The sequence below is a fragment of the Homo sapiens genome, chromosome 14, assembly GCF_000001405.40.
Source record: "Homo sapiens chromosome 14, GRCh38.p14 Primary Assembly".
Lineage (NCBI taxonomy): Eukaryota > Metazoa > Chordata > Mammalia > Primates > Hominidae > Homo > Homo sapiens.
Genome location: NC_000014.9, coordinates 97948265 through 97969614, shown reverse-complemented (window position 1 = coordinate 97969614; position 21350 = coordinate 97948265). Strand labels below are relative to the sequence as shown.

Below are 21350 nucleotides of genomic sequence, written 5' to 3'. Positions count from 1 at the left end.
ATACATATATTTGGTCTTTGTGTCCATCCATGAAAGGTAATCTCACTCTTCTTTTAATTATTTTTAGATCCGTTGGCTGAATGCCTTTTAGTCTGCATACATGCATCTCATACCGCACAGCCCAAATTTCTACAACTTGTCCAGGTGCAGTCTCCTCAGAACTACAAAGCAAGAAAAGATCACCTTTGGGCTCAGGAACTCACAGTCGTTCTCCCTCTCCCGGAAGGCACAATGACCAGGACAGTACCGAGCTTTACAGCCATATTGAACTCACCATCAACTCAGCACATTCAACTCAATCAGTCAAAATCGTCTTTTCCTGCTGGTAAATAACACTGAAATGTAAGTGCCAACTGTTAGTCTTTCTTATCTGGAGTCTTCTTCCCAAGTTTTTATTTTATGTGAAAGCATTGTGTTCTCAGCAGTTATTTTGGTCTCCATATTTTATAGCCAACCCCTTTGATTTAAAATATTACAGAAGGCTCTGTTCCATCCCTTTTTCTTCCTAAACTGATTTTTGCAAAACCCTTAATCTGGGCTTGAAGGAAATACAATCTTTTCCTACACAATTTTACTTCTTTTTTTTTTTTTTTTTTCAGATGAGTCTCACTCTGTTGCACAGGCTGGAGTGCAGTGGTGCAATCTCGGCTCGCTGCAACCTCCGTCTCCCGGATTCAAGCGATTCTCCTGCCTCAGCCTCCCGAGTAGCCAGGACTACAGAAACGCACCACCACATCCAGCTAATTCTTGTATTTTTAGTAGAGACGGGGTTTGCCTGTGTTGGCCAGGCTGGTCTCGAACTCCTGACCTCAGGCGATCCACCCACCTCGGCCTCCCACAGTGCTGCGATTACGTGAAGAGAAAGAATGAGAAATGCATCTGAGCCTCACTCCACCAAAACAACACACTTTCCCACCTCTCACTCCACTCCAATGAATGTCTATGAGTTTTCAGACTCCCTGTCAATGGTCTTAGGTAAATGCAGTAGTATCTGCTTTTTAGAATTTATAAGACAAGGGCCATGCTGGGTGCATTGGCTCATGCCTGTAATCCTAGCACTTTAGGAGGCTGAGGCAGGCAGATCACCTAAAGTCAGGGGTTTGAGACCAGCCCAAAATGGCAAAACCACGTCTATATTAAAAATACAAAAATTAGCCGGGCATGGTGGCATAAGCCTGTAATCCCAGCTACTCAGAAGGCTAAGACAGGAGAATCGCTTGAACCCAGGAGGCGGAGGTTGCAGTGAGCCAGGATTGCACCACTGCACTCCAGCCTTGGTGAAAGAGTCAGACTCTGTCTCAAAAAAAAAAAAAAAAAAAAGAAGAAGACAATGGCCAGTGCCTTAAAATGAGCAGAAAATTTTCTGTCAGGTATCCTTGGATCCCCTTCCTCTCCTGCAGCATATTGGGCTTACTTTTGCTCATTCCCTCATGCCTTAGCTTCTTCATCTGTCAAATGGAGAGAAAATACTCTTTCAGTCCTTTGTGTAGGAAAAAGTGATAATGGCTCCAGAAGTTTCCTGTCAACTCGGAAGCACTATATAAACAAATCAGACTGCCACCAGTAATCAAAAAAGGAAGGTCTAATACCTCAGACTTATAACTTGTATAGTAAATTTCTAGTTTAAGTTGTTCAACTAAAAAAGTAGAGGACATTTGGTTAAGAGAAAATGAGATTTCAAACACATTATGGTCAAGTTTAAATGGTATTGTTTGTTTCATTTTGCTAATGGAAGAAGGTCTAGTATTTTTCAAGAGTCAGTCATTGGGAACCAGCCCTTAATTGCAGAGTGTTATGGAAAGATCCATGGTGTCTAGGGTCTGTTGGGGAATTTGAGGAATTCTACAGCAAGAGCATTGTGCTCCAAGAGTACACAGCAGAGCTGGGGCTATCGCAATCCCATAAAACAGATAAAATCGGACTCAGAACACAGCTGTATTAGTCCATTCTCACGCTGCTATAAGGACATACCTGAGACTAGGTAATTTATAAAGGAAGAGGTTTAAGTGACTCACAGTTCTGCAGGGCTGGGGAAGCCTCAGGAAACTTACAATCATGGCAGTAGGAGAAGGAAACACATCCTTCTTCACATAGTGGCAGCAAGGAGAAGTATGAGTGAAGTGGGGGAAAAGCCCCTAAAAAAAAACATCAGATCTTGTAAGAATCACTATCATGAGAACAGCATGGGGGTAACTGCCCCCATGATTCAATTACCTCCAACCAGGTCCCTCCCATGACACAATATGTGGAGATTATGGGAACTATAGTTCATGATGAGATTTGGGTGGGGACACAGCGAAACCATTAACAGCTATCAACAGCTTTGTTAGCATCCAGAGAAGGCTGAAAGAGGAAGAAGAGAAAGATGTGGGGCCAGCACAGAAGACTTCCTGGAGTGACTGTGGCCCCACCTGGGTGCACAGGGGTCACAGCAGTCAGAGAGCATAGCAGAGAGAAGGCACTCCTGTGTGAGACCTCCAGGTGAAACTGGGGTGGGGGTGGAAAGAGTATTTATAAGAGATGAATAAACAGGTTAACAAGGAATGAAATGTATTGGGCTTTGAAAGTCAAATGCCATAGCAGCTTGAATTTGATCATTTCATCTGTAGGGAAAATGGGGAGTAGGGGACATTGGAAGGTGGAAAGGCCTAAAAAGCTCACCTTGAAAATCCATCAAGACATTCTTTAAATTTAAATGTAAAACTGTTACTATACCAATACTTATGGCTCCTTTTCCGAGAAAGCCCTCCCCGTGTCTCTTCCCTGCTAATTCCTGGCCATCTTTCTGGCCTTAACAAGGTGCCGTTTTCTCCACCAGCCCCACCCAAACATCTCTCCTTCTCACAGAGGTGGGTCACCCAGAGTGGTCCAAACTTCCCTAATCAAAACAGCCTTTACACATCCTGTGGCTTACAATTCCTTCCTACCCCTGTGACCCTCCTCTTCTTTCCCTATTTAACATTATGAAAACTCTCATCAGTTTGCATTCAATGAATCCTCACCTACTCTGTGCACCTTGTCCCACAAGCCTCCCCTGATTGTAAACCCTCCACAGAGGTCTCGGATGACACCTTGTGAGCCACCAGGCTGTGGGGAGATTCCTCTCTTCCCTCATCAATGTCTTTACCCAGTGAGGTTAAGAAAGCCAGGGCAGGCTGAACTAGGAATTCCCTTGGTTCTAACAGAAAATATGGTCACTTTAAATGACCTAATTGTCCTGTCTAAACACTTCTCTCCTGGGATAATTGAAAATGCTCTTTTAGTCTAGCTCACAATTCCTCACCTCCAGGCCCCCAGGGTTCCAGTAGGCGGGTGGTGGGAGTCCATTAGTCACTCACCTTCTGCCCTTTCTGGTCTCAGCTGGGCTCTTATCACCTGTACCTGGGCCTCCTGGTCTCAAGAGGTCCATGACTGCCTCTCTGTAAGCTCCAGCAAAAGATGGTGAGGTTCAAGCAATTGCCTTTCTTATTCTAATGAGCCTTGCTTCTAACAGAACATGAGAAGGGTTAGTGTGAGTACTCCAGAAGGAAAGAAATTAAAGGAGAGAAACAATAAATTAATGTAATAGAGTGGGCAGAAAAAAATGCTTAGATATGAGATATTCCTGGTTTAACTACATGACTTTCACATGTGATATGGTCTGTCACACCTTGAGCCTCCTTATCTGTAGAATGAAGATATCAGTTCACACTCTGCTGTGAGACTAGAATTTGTATGTGATGCACCTGGCATAGTGCCTCAGACACAGGCCCTAAAATTGGTACCTAGTCCAATAGTGGTTGTCATTATACCAAAGAGTACCAATGACTTTAAAAGCTGAGGTTTCTAGCCTTATCAGGACCCACATCTAGAGAGGGTAGAATTGTATTTTCCATACCTATTAGAAGTGGAGTCCTCCAATGTTTACCTCTTGGGCATTTTATAGAATTGAATGGTTTGAGGGGGCACTGAGACCCACCCCCTCTTCAGGTTACTCATACACTGTCTTGAAAATAAAGAAATCCATCTAAAAAAGGATAGATGAGTCCTGCTTACAATGGCCACTCTTAGAAAATATTAAGCCACTTCCCTGGATAATAAAGGAACAACAGAGAAGTGAACACATTCATGGTAGATTCTCATCCTAAGAGAGTAGCACTAAACCCTCTCCCTCCTGTTGTCAATGCCTCTTCAATTTAAAGAATGAACTGCACCTCATAAGAATTGAATTTGCTTATTGATTAATCCATATATATGCAGCACTTGATACCATAAGCCATCATGCTGGAATACAATGTGCTCTGAACTACAGGTGTCTAGTCATTTTAAGTATAAAAATTAGGTAATTATAGCCAGAAGTATTCATTAAAATTTGAAAGTAGATAAATAAAAGAGAACATTGATATCTAGTCATTAAACTTCTACAAATAAAATGTGAAATGAGAAAAAAATGAAACAAAACAAAATCCTTCCTATTATCTTCCCCTCAAATCCCTTTTTTTTTCCTTATGAATCAGATGCGGCATCTCCAGGGAATAGTTATTTCTTCCCTCTATGCATGAAGCAGAGCAGGTTGCGGGGGGGGCGGTGTCCACCCGGGAATGGGGGAGGTCCCTAAAGCAGAAGGTGGCTCCATCATCTGCAATTCCCATCAGAAACCTACCTCAAAGGCTATAGGTCAGACATTGTTTATGGGGTAGGGAGAAGGGCAGGGCTGGGGGGAGCCCACAGTGTGTGATTCTCAAAATGTTGAAAAGGCCAGAGCACAAATACATCTCCACAATTACACTTTGACTTTCTATAAGTGCTGTTTGGAGTCTGAGGAAGTCAGAGAGAGAGGGTGAGTGCTGAGTCTGTGCTCGCAAATTCTTCAGTGAAATGGGAAAAGACAAGTTAATGGTTAGTTGTCTCCATGTGGGTGGGTGCGGGTGGAAGGGCAGAGCTGGGAGATGGTAGGATTTCAACATCAGTTGAAAAAAACAGGCCACGCAGGCTCCCCCCAGACAAGCTGATTTTCCCCCAGTGAATTCACCAGGGAAAAGGGATTTGGAGGCAAGATCTCATTACTAATTTTGTTAAAAACCCACCTGCGAACACAGTGAAATGAATAGTCCCTGGGACTTGGGGGTTTTGGCTGTGTGCTCAGGTGTAGACAGACCTTAACCTCATCAGCTGCTTGACTTCGGGGCTCTTGATAAAATATAAGGTGTTCTTCAATATAAGGGGAATATGGATGCAGCTAGAAACCCAGCCCTGAGCTTGTGGATGGTCACCCCAGGCCAGCTCACAGTACCGATGTGAATCATCTGTGAGCAAATGATAATGAATGACAAAAAAGGCTTGTATCCAGAGGCAAACAACCTCAGGAGGTTATTTTCACTACCTTGCCCATATTTATATGTGGGGTCATGCATCTGTTAGGACTTTCTGTCCGTGGCATTTATTATCTCACGTTATATCTGAACATTTCCGAGGTTTCTGGCTACAGAGGAGGCTGATCAAGAGGCTTAATCATGTCATCAAGGACCTGGTTCTTCTAAGTCTGTTCTTTCTGTATCCCTTGGTGTTGGCCCTGTCCTCAGGCTCCATGTCATGCCTTCCTCAAAATCCCCAGCTCTCCTTTCACTGCAGCAAAATGATTGCCATAGCTCTGTTCCTCACATCTTTCTATCACTCCACCCATAGACAAGGAGGGTCTACTTTTGTGGCTGTGTCTGGTGGCCAGTCTCTAAGGTGATGCCCAGTGATCCTTGCTTCTTGGCATTCACACCCTTGTGTAATCTCTTCCTTTTGAGTGTGGGACAGGCTTGGTGGCTTAATGATTGAGATGTCAGGTCCCAGATTAGGTGATGGTAGATGGTGACATGCTTTTGTTTTTCCATCCCTTCTCTGACTGAGTGAGCAAGCTGCCCTGTGGAGGCCTCAGGTGACCAGACACTGAGAACAGTCTCTACCCAATAACAAGCAAGGAACTGAAACCTTCAGTCTAACAGCTCAGGAAGAACCAAGCCCTCCAACAGCCCCATGAGTGGGCCTGGAAGCAGACCCTTTCCTGGCCAAGCCTTGGGATAGCTGCAGGTTTAGCTGATACCTTGATGGTAGCCTGGGGATAACCTGGATGCAGAAGTCCCAGCTAAGCAACCTGGAATTGCTGACCCACAAAACCTCGGGGATAAAACATGCTTGTTGTTTTAGTCCAAAAAGTCTTGGGGTAGTTGTTATGCAGCAAGATATCATAAGCACACTCCCATAGAAAAGGAAAGGTGTTTCTTTTTTCAAGTTCCAAGGTGTTTCTTTTTCCAAGGACCGCATCCTTGATTCTTCTTGGCTCTGAATGCTGTATGTACGTCTCTAAACCAAAGGTTGCATTCAGAGATAATGACTTTGAGATCTAGAGACAGGAGGGGCCTGGATTTGTGATAGAAGGAGCTGGTCTTCTGTCTTAATGTTCCCTTACTTCCTAGCTGTGTGCTGGGATGAGTCACTGAGCCTCGCAAAAACTCCTCTTGCTCATCTATGCAGTAGCAGGTGAAATTATGTCCCCCAAAGAAACCAGGCCAAGTCCTGATCTCCACGCTTGTGAATGTGACTTTATTTGGAAATAGGGTCTTTGCAGAAGTAATTGCGGTCATCTGGATTTAGGATGGGACCCAAAGCCCAACAACTGGTGTCCTTGTAAGAGAGAGGAAAGGAAGATTGGACATACGCAGACATAGAAGAGACGACAAACAAGAAGGCCATGTGAGGATGGAGGCAGAAATGGGAGTGTGGCAGCCGCAAGCCAAGGAATACCAAGGACTGCCGGCAGACACCCAAAGCTAGGAGGGAGGCATGGGTGGGATTCTCCTTCACAGCCCCCAAAGGAAGTAACCCTGCTGCCGCTTTGATTTCAGAGTTCTGCCTTCATACTATGACAGAGCAGGTTTCTATTGTTTTAAGCCACCGTGCTTTGGTACTTTGTTATAGCAGCCTTAGGAAGCTGTTAATAACACATATGGGTAACAATAATCGGTGCTGCTGTGAGATCATGGATGCACAAGTCAGAAGTCTATATATAATAATTGTAGTGACCTGATGGCCAGGGCACACCTATTCTATCCCTCTCCACAATGGGATTCAGTGTGCCAAGAAATGACCTCTTTGGCAGAGGCTGGAAGAGTTCAGATGTGATGAATAGAGGTGGATAGCAAGTTTGAAAGCAGTTCAAATAGAAAGCATTGGATTTGGGGCCCAATGACCTGGGCTCACTTTCTTCTGACATTAGGCAAAATTGCTTCATGGCAATCAGCCTCAGTTTTGTCAATGCATGTAATAATAAACCAAACTTAAAACATTGTTACGGGGGGGCAGAAAGAAGAGTGAGAGGGTAGGAGAGAGAAAGAAGGGAGAGAGAGAGAGACAACGAGAGAATGTGCAGTTTTCTAGCACTTTGTAAATGTCCAGTAAATGCTTCTGTATTCACTGAGCTATACTTTTGGTCTGTCTTTATTGACTGTCATACCGTCTGGCTCAAGGCTGCCCCATCATTCCTGGACACTGTTGATGAACTATATTCACAGACTAGACATTAAAAAGTGCACTTGATCATGTTACTCCCCACTGACTGGGCTTGGAAGAGGAGTAAGGGAAGGAGGCAAAGATGAGGGTTTAAGTCCACAGCTTCTTGGTGGCAGTGACCAATAAATGTGACCATCGCATGCTTGTGCTTAAGTTATTTTAAACATTCCCCATTGTCATAAGGACAAAATTCAGGTTTCTGTGATCTGGTCCACTTGCTTACTGGCCTCATCCCCCTTATTCCTCTCTTGTATTTTAGTTTCTGCAACACAGCCTGACCTGTCCTGATTGAATCAGGTTCTGCATTTTCAATTATTATGCCTTGGCTTCTATTATTGCCACCGACTGGAATGTCCTTTCTCACTGACCACCTTTGTACTCTGCACACCGGTCTTCCCTCTCTCTTTCATGAGCTCTTTTTCTATCCCTTCCTCCTTGCCACCAAACCCCTAAGAACCACTAATGTTTTTTTTTACTTTCTTGATATTTTAGCCTTTTCCAGAATGTCTTATGATTAGAATCAGAAAGCATATAGATTTTTAACCACCTTTTACTTAATAATATGCATGTAAGTCTCCTCCATATCAATATTATTGCTGAATAATATTCCATGGTACAGATGTACCACAGTTTGTTCATTCCTTTACCTATTGAAGAACATCTTGATTGCTTCTAAATTTTAGCAATTATCAATAAAACCTTCCATGAATATTTGTGTGCAACTTTCTATGTGGACATGAGTTTTCAACTGCCTGCCTTTTACAATTAAGCTCAAGTGCCACTTCCTCCAGGAAGCATTGCCTGATTCCCTGGGGTCTGCAACATTGATCTCCCTCCTGTTTCCAGTACTCCAATGCACCTGTTCCACCATAGCACTTAGGGGACTGTACTACACTAACTGTTCCCTGTGTGTCACCCCAGTGAGACTGTGGGCTGTGGAATGAGAGTCCATGCATCTTGGCTTCCACAATACCTATATTAAGTGGTCAAACATATTTGTTCACCTAAGCTTTGACTGGGTTTTCTTTCCTTGAGCCCGGTCCATCATTTTTTACCCAGTGCCTTTAAAGAGGCAATTCCTGGAGTTAGGTATCAAATAAGAAGCAAGGTCCAAGTGGTCCTTTGTGGGTCATGACTTCTGGATCACAATTTAAGTGTGATATTAACATTTGGTGAAAAAAGGCAGGACTATGAACCCTTAATGGGTTCAGAAAGGGGGAAGTGGGGAGAATAGCAGTAGTCGTCTTCTGGGAATACTCACTGGTGTTAGTTACCCAGAGAGCAAGTCAGCCCACTAGGGTTCTGGGAAGGAACCAGGAGCAGCAGAGAAGATAAAGTTACAAAGAACGAATCAAACATAAAAACATAAAAAAAAATCAGAAAGGTTTTGTACAGATGTTAGAAATATAACACAAATTTGGCTCTGAGTTTCCTGGCAGCCCAAGCGCAGAAGGAAACATGATGAATTCCAATGCATGATACTCGCCAGATTCAAAAGGGAAAATGTCCTCAAGAAGCCTTTCTGTCCCCTCTATTGAGCCTGGAGATTTATTTTTCCCCCCATGGGTGTTCATTAAAGGAACACTACGGCATGACATGGAATCCTTATCCTAACAACAACAGGCCATAGAACACTATTCTTTTCTTCTATTACTCCATAGTGTGGGAAGATGGGATGGTAAGAACAAAGTCTGTCTCTGGAAGCACGGGCGCTGTCTCTGAAGACAAATTGATCGTAACACAAGCAGACCCGGTGGAACGACCTCCATGCTGAACCCTCAGCTCCCCCTGCATTTGGACCATGGCCTGATGGAAGGTGCGAGAAACCCTGTGACCACGTTACAGCACAGGGGCAGCTTGGCCAGGCCACCCCTTGGGCCTAATTTTTCTCCCTGGCCAAAGGGGTCAGACTATTCCAGTGCTGTCTGCTCCCTGGCCTCCAGAGTAATCAAACACACATGTTTGGCGCTCCACTAATCAGGGAATGAAATAAAGCTAGATGTTTCCATATGTTGATTCAATTTACAAGCAAAAGTAAGTGTCAGGTAGGGGGCACAACAGTAAGGGGTGAGCAGTGAAGAAATGATTCCACAATGACGTTTCGTAAGGAGCAAAAAGATGAGGAAGAAAAGGGGAGACACATCATTGAAGGCCAGGCTCTGTGACAATTTATATTTGCCTATATATCTGTATCTCTCTCTGTCTTATCTAATGAAATACCAACAACAACCTGAGAACAGTTCTGTCTTCCGTCACAGATAAAGAGACTGATCTCAGAGTGGTACAGATCTACAACCACGTGAAGAATTGGATTTATATTCATCTGACTCCAGAAAGTTCCTGAGATTCCTCTGCTTCATCATCTTTCCCATGCCCTTTAAAACACGTTATCAAATAGCAACAGGTGGTGCAATAACTAGACAAATGATTCTCAGCCTTTTTCTTTGCCATTAGCACTCCCGGAAGGAGACGTGTTGGACACTTTTCCTTGTCACCACCCCATGAACCTTCCATACCACAGGTATACTGTGTATTCGGTTATGTATCATCTGTACATCTGTTTCTAAAACACAGAAACAGTAAGAGCCCCCCATCCAAGAATCCATTTTAATCCTCTTGGGTGTGATGTCACCCCCCAAAAATGCATATGCTCTGGAGTCAGTCACAAACACATTACGAATGCATGATCACTTAAGAATGTTACCAAAGTTTATAAATTTGAGATGATAATTCTATGTTATTTAGTTCATTTTAGAGATAAGTAAGAACCAGAGATTCCAGAGAGGTAGACCAAGCTGACAGAGCAAGGAAAGGCAGAGCCAGACATGCAGCTGAAGCATCTGAATTCCCACTCTAGTGCTCCAGCTTAACCTGGATGATCAGTAAATGGTTGCTTTTCAATGTGCTCTCAACACTTCCCACACTGCCTCCTTCATTAATAAAGGAATGGTATTTTGGGAGAAACCAGAATCTGCCCTGGGGCAATAGAAAGGCAGCAAAGCAACCTGCATTCAAGTCTTTGGGGGATTTTTTGGAAAGCAGAGTGTATTAGTCTGCTATTGCTGCTGTAACAAATTACCATAAATTTAGTGGCTTAAAACAACACACATTTGTTGTCTTAAAGTTCTGGAGGTCAGAGCCCAAAATGGGTCTCATGGAGCTCAAATCAAGATGTCAGAAGGGCTGTGTTCCTTTGGAAGGCCCTTGGGGAGAATCTGTTCCATGCCTTCTCCAGTTCCTGGAAGTCACCTGCTTGCTTTGGCTGTGGGGCACTTCCAGCAACTGCATCACTCTAACCTCTGCAACCATAGCACGTCTCCCTTTTCTGACTCTCACCCTCTTCTTTCTTTCCCTTATAAGGACAATTGTAGTACAGGATAATCTCCCCATTTCAAAATCCTTTACTTAATCACATCTGCAAAGTCCGTCTTGGCCTATAAGGTGACATACTTGCAGATTCCAGAAATTAGAATTTGGACGTCTTTGGGTGGCTGTTATTATGCCTGCCACACAGACCAATGCATACACAATGTGACCAATCCATCATGATTTGTCTGAGACTATATTGGCTTTAAAGCTGAAAGTTCTGCATCCCAGGAATCGCCTCAGTCCCAGGCAATTCAGGACAATTCGTCGTCACCCTATGTGCACCTCCTATGTGCTCCTTCAACTTAGAGAGTTGGTGTTTTCTCTCCTCTTCAAAGGACTAACTCCTTTTCACCTAAAGAGTACACAGAGGCTGGGTGTAGTGGTTTAGGCCTGTACTCTGTGCATTTGGGACACTGAGGCAGGAGGTTCACTTGAGCCCAGGAGTTTGAGACCATTCACGGCAACATAGTGAGATCCTTTCTCTACAAATTTTTTAAAAAATTAGTTGGGCATGGTGGCACATGCCTGTAGTCCCAGATACTTGGCAGGCTAAGGAGGAAGGATCCCCTGAGCCCGGGATTCAAGGCTGCAGTGAGCTATGATAGTGCCACTGTACTGCAGCTGAGGCAATAAAACGAGGCCCTGTCTCTAAAAATAAAAAAAAAAAAAAAAAAGAAAAAAAGGCTGCACAGAATAGACTGATGGACTGAAGGCTCTGCCCTTATCAAACATTTACTAAGTAATAATTATAAGTTTGCCTCCTACACTGGGTGACTTCTCAAATTCCAGGTTGAGGTCATATTCATTTCTGCTGTCATAGGGTATTGTTGGGTCCCTGGTGCTTATATGTGATTTGGGAAATGCTTGCCGATGTGAATTGAAGAGAAGGATAGACAAATGCTTGGTTGGGAGGATGGCAGGAGATGGTAATGGGTAGATGGGTGGATGGATGAAAATATGAATGGATGGCTAAGAACGATCAGTAAGCTGGGAGAGCATCTCAGATCCCAACAGCATCTAGGCACAAAGCAATTTATATTTAATTTGCATTATTGTATGTCACCCCAGATGGGGAGAAAGACAAGGAAATGAAAAGAGAGAAGAGAAGGAAGGAAGGAAAAGAGAAGGGATGGGAAGAAATGGAAGAGAAGAGAAAAGAAGGCAAAAGAGAAGAAAGACAAAAGACAACCAATGAGATAAACAGAGAAAAATAAAGACTAGAAAAGGAAGAGGGGAAAGGAGAGGAGAGGAAAGGAAGGAAAACTCATGGGTGGTCCCCAGCTTAGACCACATGCCCACAACCAGCTCTGGATCCCAGAGGTGGGACTATGCTGGAATTCCAGAGGAAGAGGCATGCAAGCCAAGCACAGGCCATTCCATCAGTTCTTCTAAATTATTTCTCCAGTCCAGGCCCGCATCAGGGAGAGCATGTCTGTCGTGCATTTTAATCTCAGAGTTCTGGGCTGGTATTTGTCAGCCCCAGAGGAAAAACCACTTTTTTTTTTTTTTTTTTTTTTGCCCTTCTCACATGCTGGGCAGGCGTGTTACATTTTTTTTGGCTGTGAAGGCACTAAGTGTTTCTTGGCAGCATGTACGTCTGGAACTCAGCCTCTTCCCAAGTCAGAACGACCAGAGATTCAAGATCAATGGGTGTAGCTTTCAGGTGGGTTCCCTCTCCAGTGCCATCTTGGGGAAAGGCAGGAGGACTTTTGATTTTCCACTTTTCCAGCTGAGACAGCTCTCTCTCCCGAATGCGCATACGTGAATACCTCGTCTATTTCCATGAGCTTTCTCTTTTCATTATCGCTTCACCACCAATGGAGAAAGATCAGTAGAATATAATGTTGAAGACTCAGAGTCCTTGGAACTCTTTGGCATTGACAAATCGTGTTACAACAACCTCCTTTGCGTCTTAAACAGCCTGGCATTCTCACATTCAGCTTGGCAGCCTCATCAATATTCTGGAGAGATCTGAGCTCAAGGCCATCAAATGTGACACTTTGGTTGTTTAGTCGGGAGTGAATCTACTGACTGTGGCCTTAGTGACACCAAGGCTGGCATGTTGTGTTTTCTCTCAATTCATGGGCTTTTCTGATGTGTCTCTCAAATCCAGCCCTGGTGAGGGGAAGGAAAATTACCCAGACCCAGCTCTGTTCTGTAGGAGCTGCATGATTTTGAGAGAGTCTCTTCCCCTTTCTGAGCCTCAGTTTCTCCACTGGCATGGTAAGGTGCAGTTTGGACCAGGTAGTTTCTAAAGTCTGTTACATTCCGGCATGCCCAACTTCGTTTAGGATTGCTCTGAATGAATGAGTGTCCAGCCATGGTCAGGCCAATAGATAGGGTCAGAAAATACAGTTTGCCACATATGCAGTCAAGCGTTGATATAAATTGTCTGCCTGAATCCTGGCTTTGGTTGTTTGTGGATCAAACCATGCCCCCTGTGTGCACAGTAATGATTGGTTATGGCAACCATATGTCCTGGGTTTCCTCGGACAGCCTTGATTTCAAAAATTCTGTCCCATCGTCAAACCTTGTGTCAGATCATGTATCTCAATTTTTGATTCAGAAAGTATGGTCACCATATGGCAAATGCATCTCCACCACTGTGACATAGAGGGCTTGTCTTCATCCTCCTGCAAATCTCTGTCTTATTCTCCCAGGCAGACAAGGATGCATCTCCTCTCTGTGCCCACTCCTGTCACCACAAAACCTTCAATCTATCACTTCCATGTCTGTGTCCTGTGCTGGACACCAGGCTCCCTAAGGGCAGGAAGAACATTTGGTTCATCTTCATATTCTTAGCACCAGCTCTGAATAAACTAAAAGCAATGAGTCTGTCACATTATACAGTAGAAATCTTCCTGAAAAGATGGGGGCGTACATTTTTAAATTATAATCTCTTCTAAATAGAACCAGGAAACTTAGTACTCAAGGAAGAAATCATACATTTATTTTTTTCCTTCCTTTCCTTTCCTTTTCTTTTCTTTCTTTTCTCCAAATAATTATTTCAGATCTTCTAAAAGATCTGGACTTGCATATGCCATTTGCTGGGGGGGGTAAATCTTGGAAGCAGATTCTCCTGGCTGTATAGGATTCAGTCCACTCATGGCCAACAAACTGAGACATCAGAAGAGAGAATTCACCATTTTAAATCTGCAGTCAGCTGAGACTCAGTCCTGCAATTATATAATTTCTTGTGAATTTGTTTCATGAACTAAAGAAGGCAAAGGCTTTTTCAGGGTTACAAGGGGGATAAAGTCCATCTTACGGCCCTTGGAGGAAAATCTTAGTCACCTTTCTTATAATTCCTTTTTCTTGGCTGCTTTTAGTGCTAGCCCCTTTCTTTGAGTACTTTATCCTTCCTGAACTCTCTAGACATACGTGTCTCCAAGCTCCTCTCTAACCCAGATTTCACTCTGGCAGCCATGCTAAACTTTGATCCAATGTTGTCCATAACTTCTACTTATTTCCAGAGTAATAATAATACTTCACAGCATACCACTCAAGAGCTCTTATGGTTTGACCACCATCTATTATTTTACACCTTAGATCCTCAAAAGGCCCATACACCAACACCTTTTATCCCAGAAAAATCAAGAAATCCAGTCATTTTTACTATTGTCAATCCCAGAAAATAGCCCAACTCACTCTCATAGCTCTGAGTCTTTGCACAAACTCTTTCTTTTCTCTGGGACGAGTTCCTGCCTTCAGGTACCTTGGCACACCCTAGCTGTCTTTCAAAATCTTTTTTGATTATCCCTTTTATTGTGAAGGCTTCTCTCATTCAGTAAATACAGATGATGATGATGATAGTAATAACAACAATAATAGTGATGATAATGACAAAACTCACATGTGTTCAGCAGGAATTATGTGCTGGGCTGGGAGCTAAGTGCTTTTCAGACTTTACCTGATCTTACATTTTATAGCAGAAAAGAAAATTCAAACCCAGAAATATTTGCATAGCCAAACTAAGTCCAAGGACACATAGTTAAAATAGGGCAGACCTGAGGTTGGGACCCATTTTCTGTCTGACCTCAAAGTCAGAGTTCATAACTACTACATCCCACTTAGGCTCAGTCAGGTTCTAGTTTGGATCACTTCATACCCACAGAAGGTGCCTCTTGCTTGGTCATCCTCATGTTGACCAGCCAGCCTCAAGGATCTCGAGGACAGAGGCTCTGCCCTATAAATCTATTCTTCATTAGTCCTTCCTATGGTCCCTGACACACGGTAAACATGCAACAGAGTTGGCTAAAGAAATGGGCACAAAACCACTCTTTCATCTTGCTTCATTTTTGCCGAGAGGAATATCTCAAGGGGAATATATAGACACCTTCCACTAGATCTGTACATATATTCAAGCTCACACTTAAAAAGGGCCACCATAATCAGCAAGCAGCAAATATACCCTAGGCTGCTTCTAGCTGGAGCATAAACAGAACCCACCGAGGCTCTTCACTGGCACAGCAACTCTGTGCTCCCTAGAGCCTAAAGCTGATGAAGAAGTCTGCAAACCTTACCTTTCCAAAGAGCCAATGCCTAGAGGATGACAATATTAAGTCTGAATTCAACGAAAACTAACAAAGAAACAAACAACCCCAAAAGTAAACACAAAAGAAATAAAAACACTTTGGGAGGCCTAGGCAGGCAAATTGCCTGAGCTCAGGAGTTCGCGACCAGCCTGGGCAACACAGTGAAACCTCATCTCTACTAAAATACAAAAAATTAGCTGAGCATGGCAGCACGTGCCTGTAGTCCCAGCTATTTGGGAGGCAGAGGCAGGAGAATTGCTTGAACCCGGGAGGCAGAGGTTGCAGTGAGCCGAGATCACACCACTGCACTCCAGCCTGGGCAACAGAGCGAGACTCTGTCTCAAAAAAAAGAAGAAAGAAAGAAGGAAAGAAAGAAAGAAAGAAAAAGAAAGGAAGGAAGGAAGGAAGAAAGAAAGAAAAAGAAAGAAAGAAAGAAAGAAAGAAAGAAAGAAAGAAAGAAAGAAAGAAAGGAAGGAAGGAAGGAAGGAAGGAAGGAAGGAAGGAAGGAAGGAAGGAAGAAAGAAAGAAAAAAAGAAAGAAAGAAAGAAAGAAAGAAGGAAAGAAAGAAAGAAGAAAGAAAGAAAGGAGGGCGGGAGGGAGGGAAGGCAGGCAGGCAGGCAGACAAACAAAAGCCCAAGTCATGACGGATAGAAGCAGTTTCACTCTTTGACTTGATCTAAGGGACAGTTTCACTGATACAGAATCTTGTCTGGTCCTTTGCTTGAGATTGGCAGTCGAAAGTTCCCTAAGAGGCCAAACCAAGTGTACATGAAGCCTCATGCAGTGAGGGAATGGACAAAACACACACATCAATCAACAACTGGCAAAGTGGATCTGCCTTCAATCACTCCACATCGGCAAAGAAAATCCAATCATTTTGACCATCTAGACAGGGGAGATCACAACTAACTTTATGACTGGCTCAGTTTTGGCAGCACTGTCCCAGCTCCCTATGCTGATCTACTAATATAGAATGGTCCCACTAACAGACATATTCTGTTCCTAATACGCTGCAACCTTTCTTTTGCCTCTCTCACATTTCTCCTGATGGAATAAGGTTCACCAAAAGTCCTGGAGGCTCTCTTGGATCTGATTCCATTGTCCATCAAATTTCCATGGTCCCTTGAGGGAAACAGGCCATTCAAGAACTACACATTGTGACTGGAGGAAATACTCCACACCAGCCCTGTCTCTCTGTGATTATGTGTATCTCCATCCTGTTCTACTCTGAGAAGATTTCAAAGTTGGCAAATCATAGCATTTCTGCTAACTGCCTACAGTGCACCTACTGTGTGCCAACTTTGATGATGGTGCTGAGGAAAGTGAAAATTGTGAGCTTGTAGATCTTCAGCTAGAGGTAGAACCATAAATATAAACCAAGATTAAGATAAGAAACAACAACAGGATCAAAGTGGCACTTGTACATCAAGTAATGGGCTATATAGGTCCTCCTTAGAATGTCAGAGAGAAGAAAGGCCCCCAGCAGAGGGGCCTCAGTCAGTCATAAGTAAGCAGAGAAGCTGTGGGAAAAAGGTCAAAGTGGATATGGAAGTTCAAGGCTTTGTCCAAACAGAGATATTAGAGACAATCCAGACCAGGAGGAAAAATAAAAGTGGTCGGGGTGGAGAGGGAGGGAAAGGGGAAAGGGGAGGGGAGGTTGCATATTCAGCACTGTTCTCCTAATCTTTATTATACTGGCTGCATTTACTTTCCACATGGCCTTCACTTCTCTGGATATGAAATTCTTTGAAATAAGAAAGGAAAGGTCCATTCAGTTCAATACCCCAGCACCCACCATAGGTCCTGACTCATAGGAGTCCGGTAACCTTTAAAGGCAAGAATAAAGTAAAGATGGATAGATACATGAAGTATCTGATCCTGGCTCACATCATCCCCTGGAATCCTCTCAGTCCCATGACAGAAAGGATGAGCATGGAGAGGTGTGCACAGCATGTCCTCTGCCATGTGTGTAAGCCAGGGCAGGTCATTCCTTCAAACCCCAGCCATTATCCAATGGGTTGTTGAGTTAGAGGAGATGCATTTACACTGGCACATAGTAGGTATTCCACAAGCAGCTATGGCTATGTTTTCTCCTTTTCTGGCACTCCACCTGGACTGTGATAGCCACCACCTATGGGAGAAGTCACCAAAACCAATCCTAGGTTAGAATCAGATGTGTTAGTATCAAATGGAAACCTTTGTTGATTACAGTGAATGATAATAACTTTATCCTCTCTACAGTTGCTCTTCAGTGAGTACCTAATGTACGCAAGTACAATGCAGAGTGCTTTTGTCTATGATGACATTGATTTCTCACAATAGCCTCACCGGGCACAGAGACTTGGAGCCAACACTGGCCCCACTGTACAGATGACAACATGGAGGAGTTGAGAGAGGAAAGGCTTTGTCCAAGGCCACCCAGCTAAGAAACAACTCCAAAACCCATGCCTGTCTCTAACATTCTCTGATCTAATTACCATTCTTTAGGATAGATGAGGTTTTATTCTGATGTCCACATAGAAATAAGGACCCTCTGCCCTTTATTGTTCTGCTTTAGCTGCCTGTCACTTATTGTCACTTTTATTTTGTAACATCTATTAACATCATAGCAATTTCTCCATTTTTTTCACTGATTCATGGCTGCAGAGCTCCTGGATGCAGGTCTGGGGCATAACTTGTCTTTGGATTTGAGAATTGCTTCATCTGGCATGGTATGTTATGCAGAGGAGGAACTCATGGATAAAATGAACCATTGTATATCTCCACAAATTTGGGCATATCTATAAATTGGCAAATTGAATGCCCAATTCAGCACTTTTTTTTAAATTTATCCCTGCAAAATAAAATAAAGGTCAGATGCTATAGTAGGATTCAGTTTGCTTCTTACCCCACTATTTCACACCTCCTATACTCTCATATTCCAAAACTCACACCTATTGAACTAAAAAGGGGAAAAATATGCCTGTCTCCTTTTGGCCTGATCAGTTGAAATCTCACTAAACTTTTCATCCAGGTCTGGCCTGAATGTCTTTAATTTGGCTAAGAAACACCATGCTTGCTTAAAGTTGGATAAGATTATCTCTTACCTGAGGACTTCCTCTCCTGGAGTAAATCAATAAATGTAATAGTAAAATTGCTAATCAAAAGTAAAATACAAAATAAAAGTAAATCATCCAGGCAGCCTAGGCACTGAGTTGTCAGGAGCAGTGTCTTGAAGAAACTCTCTGTCCTGCTTCAGTCTCTGAGCTGGCTTTAGTGGTTTTGTGACACTGGAATCTCTTGTCTCTCTGAGTGCTACATAGCTTTTTTGTAAGGGGGAATTCAACTCTCTCTTAGCTTAGGGTGGTTCATTTTCTTTCACAGAGTTGTTCAGTATTTTGGGCATTGGTAGCAGATGATTTTATCCTTTTTGATGCAAACTACCAGTAGGCTGTAGAAATCCAGGGAATAAGCAAATATCAACAGCTGAAGTACCTAAAGTTAACTCAGGAATTCTGTTCTCTGCCACTCTATCAAATAAAATAAAAATTTATCTTGATTAGACAAAATCAAACCTAACCTAAAACAGAATTACCTTCCCCAGGAAGGGGGAATACTACTTATACTACAAATTAATTGGAGAAAGCAGGATGCAAAATTGTTTATTCAGTGTGATCTCAAATGTGTAAAATAATATTTGCTGGAAGAATGAAGTACGGCAAGATGTTAACAGTTTTTACTTCTGGGTGATGCAATCATGTATGATTTGTATTTTCTTATCTATTCTGTGTTTGCCAAATTTTCTAAACTATCTTTTATGATTCTTAAATCTTTTATGATTTAAGAATTATATGTATCCACTATTTAATTTTTTAATTGCTACATAATATAGATATTTTCGTGGTACACCAGTGATGTTTTGATATATATAATATATGGTGATCAGATCAGGGTAATTAGCATATCCATCATCTCAAACATTCATCATTTCTTTGTGTTGGGAACACTCAATATCCTCCTTCTAGCTATCTGAAGCTATATAATGTATTATTGTTAACTATGGCCACTCTTGACTTGTGCGCATGCACAGAGACTGGCTAACATTCACAGTGGCAGACACTGTGAATGTTATCAGAAGTTCACTTGACAACCCTGCCTTAGGAATCAAGCCAGCATTGTAAAAACAAAGTAAAAGACACAAATAGAAAAGTAGAAAAGTGAACTGCTGGTCAACCATCCACTTATCATGTATTTAGTGTCAAATGTATTGCCAGGCCCTGAAGACTCCTGCCGTGCTCAGCCTCCACTCCCCTCACCTCCTGAGAGCTAGTTATGATTTGGACATCACTGGGGTTTCCTTCTTGACCCCCACTCACACCCTGCCCACTTTGACATCCCTTGACCAGAGCAGTGTCATTGGCTGGGGAAACACAGCTTTCCAATGGTGGCACCACAATCAGCAGTAATCACTGTGTGGGTGGAAGAGAGGCTGGACACTGTGCTTCCCAATGGCAGGGACCCTGAACCCCTTGGGATGTGGCAGCTCCAAGGTGGCATGCATGTGGGATGTAGCATGGAGCAGAGCGGAGCCTGATGGTATCTCATGCCTCTTAGCCAAAGTTGGAGCCAATGAGGGGGCATCAGGGCCACAGCCTTGCTAAAATCCATCCTCTCTGTTCCTTTGCTCTTCTGAGGTTCTCTGAGTTACCGCAGCAGATTGATGGCATCCAATTAACTTTCTGTGGGTGGTTCAATTGGGTGACCACCCTGGAGGTCAGCGTCTATGCCTGCTTCCTTCTGGTCCATGAGTCGTGCCTGGAGGTCTGCAGCCCTTAGCACGCTGCATGGTAACACAGCCCAGTGCAGGAAGCATTTGCCCAGAGCCTGCTCTACCCCATTCAGGCCCCCTCCCCCAGCACAGCAGGACCTGCAAGCATGGGTCTGAAAAACAGATCGGAGACCTCCAATCCATGGCCAGATTCTAGCTGAGGCACACGAGGGTCTAGGGTTTCGCCAGGTTAACTCCCAGGAACCAGAGCAGGGAGGGGTTTCTGGCAGTCAGCCACTTGGACAAAGGCTCCCAGAAAGCACTGGAGCCTGAGCCCCACCCGCTTGCCAACCCCTCTGCCTGGAGCGCCCCGGGGCCGAGCTGCCTCGATGCGTGACTTGCCCAGGCCTCACACAGCTGAGCAGAGCTGGAAGCCTCCCGACACATTCCTGGTCTCAACTTCACTTTCCCTGCCTGGTTCCTATTAATGATGTGGGTTTCCAAGCCCTAATAGCAGAGCTCTGGCTTCAGAGGAGGGCTGCCTGGGGCTGCCGGCCGCCAACCAGGTCGCACACAAACGGGATCTTTTGGAGTCACCCTTTATGGCCCGGACACTGGATTATTTATAAACTTCTTGAAAACAAATAAACAAAAGCAAAACTGAAAACCTTGGAAGACACCAGGCTGGACATATGCTCCTTTCTTCAGGGACAGAAGTCAGGCAGATTGGAAGACGCGTTTGTTGGTAAACGCCGGCCTCCCTAACTCCATGCTGTTGATGTTGCATTCGGTGAAGCCCTTTCTTTGGAAGCTTCATCACTGGCATCGCCACTAGGCTGCTGGAGATGCCCTGCAAGTAATGAGATGCACACCTGGAGGGAGTGGGTCAGAGAGGTTGCTCCCCGTCTCATGGAGCAGGATGGAAGGCAGAGGAATGTTCTGGAACTGCAGCCAAGGAGAAGTCAGCTCAGTACACTGAGGTCCTTGGCCAGGTAAGCTCTTGGCCAGCTCTGCTGGAAGAAAGGGCAGCCTGCCCTCCCTTTCTTGGGCCCTCCAGCCCCTTCCAGGGGTTAGCATTCTCATGACACACTCACTTCCTCTGAGGATCCCTCCAGCATCTTCAGGGTGAGGTCACCAGGTGCAGTGGCAGAGGCTTCTCTGCC

General features: G+C 43.9%; 1 long non-coding RNA gene across 6 annotated transcripts in view, besides 1 other annotated feature; it reads left to right on the top strand.

Annotated features, from left to right (window-relative positions):
• The window catches only part of LINC01550 (long intergenic non-protein coding RNA 1550), a 52515-nt gene that overhangs the window by 8510 nt on the left and 22655 nt on the right, over positions 1-21350 (top strand). For 2 of the 6 annotated variants that reach the window (NR_015430.2, NR_152749.1), the window contains exon 2: positions 68-342. This is a non-coding gene — a long non-coding RNA (long intergenic non-protein coding RNA 1550). Of the gene's footprint in view, positions 1-67; positions 343-9197; positions 9547-9794; positions 11686-21350 lie in introns of those variants that run through there. The other 4 variants (NR_152746.1, NR_152747.1, NR_152748.1 and 1 more) reach the window with 4 other exon arrangements.
• Positions 19998-20497: an enhancer, noted in NCBI's record as "H3K4me1 hESC enhancer chr14:98415455-98415954 (GRCh37/hg19 assembly coordinates)". NCBI's record gives its function as "activates a minimal SCP1, AML or CMV promoter by ChIP-STARR-seq in primed H9 embryonic stem cells {active_cell/tissue: H9 hESC(primed)}" and the evidence as "EXISTENCE:reporter gene assay evidence [ECO:0000049][PMID:30033119]".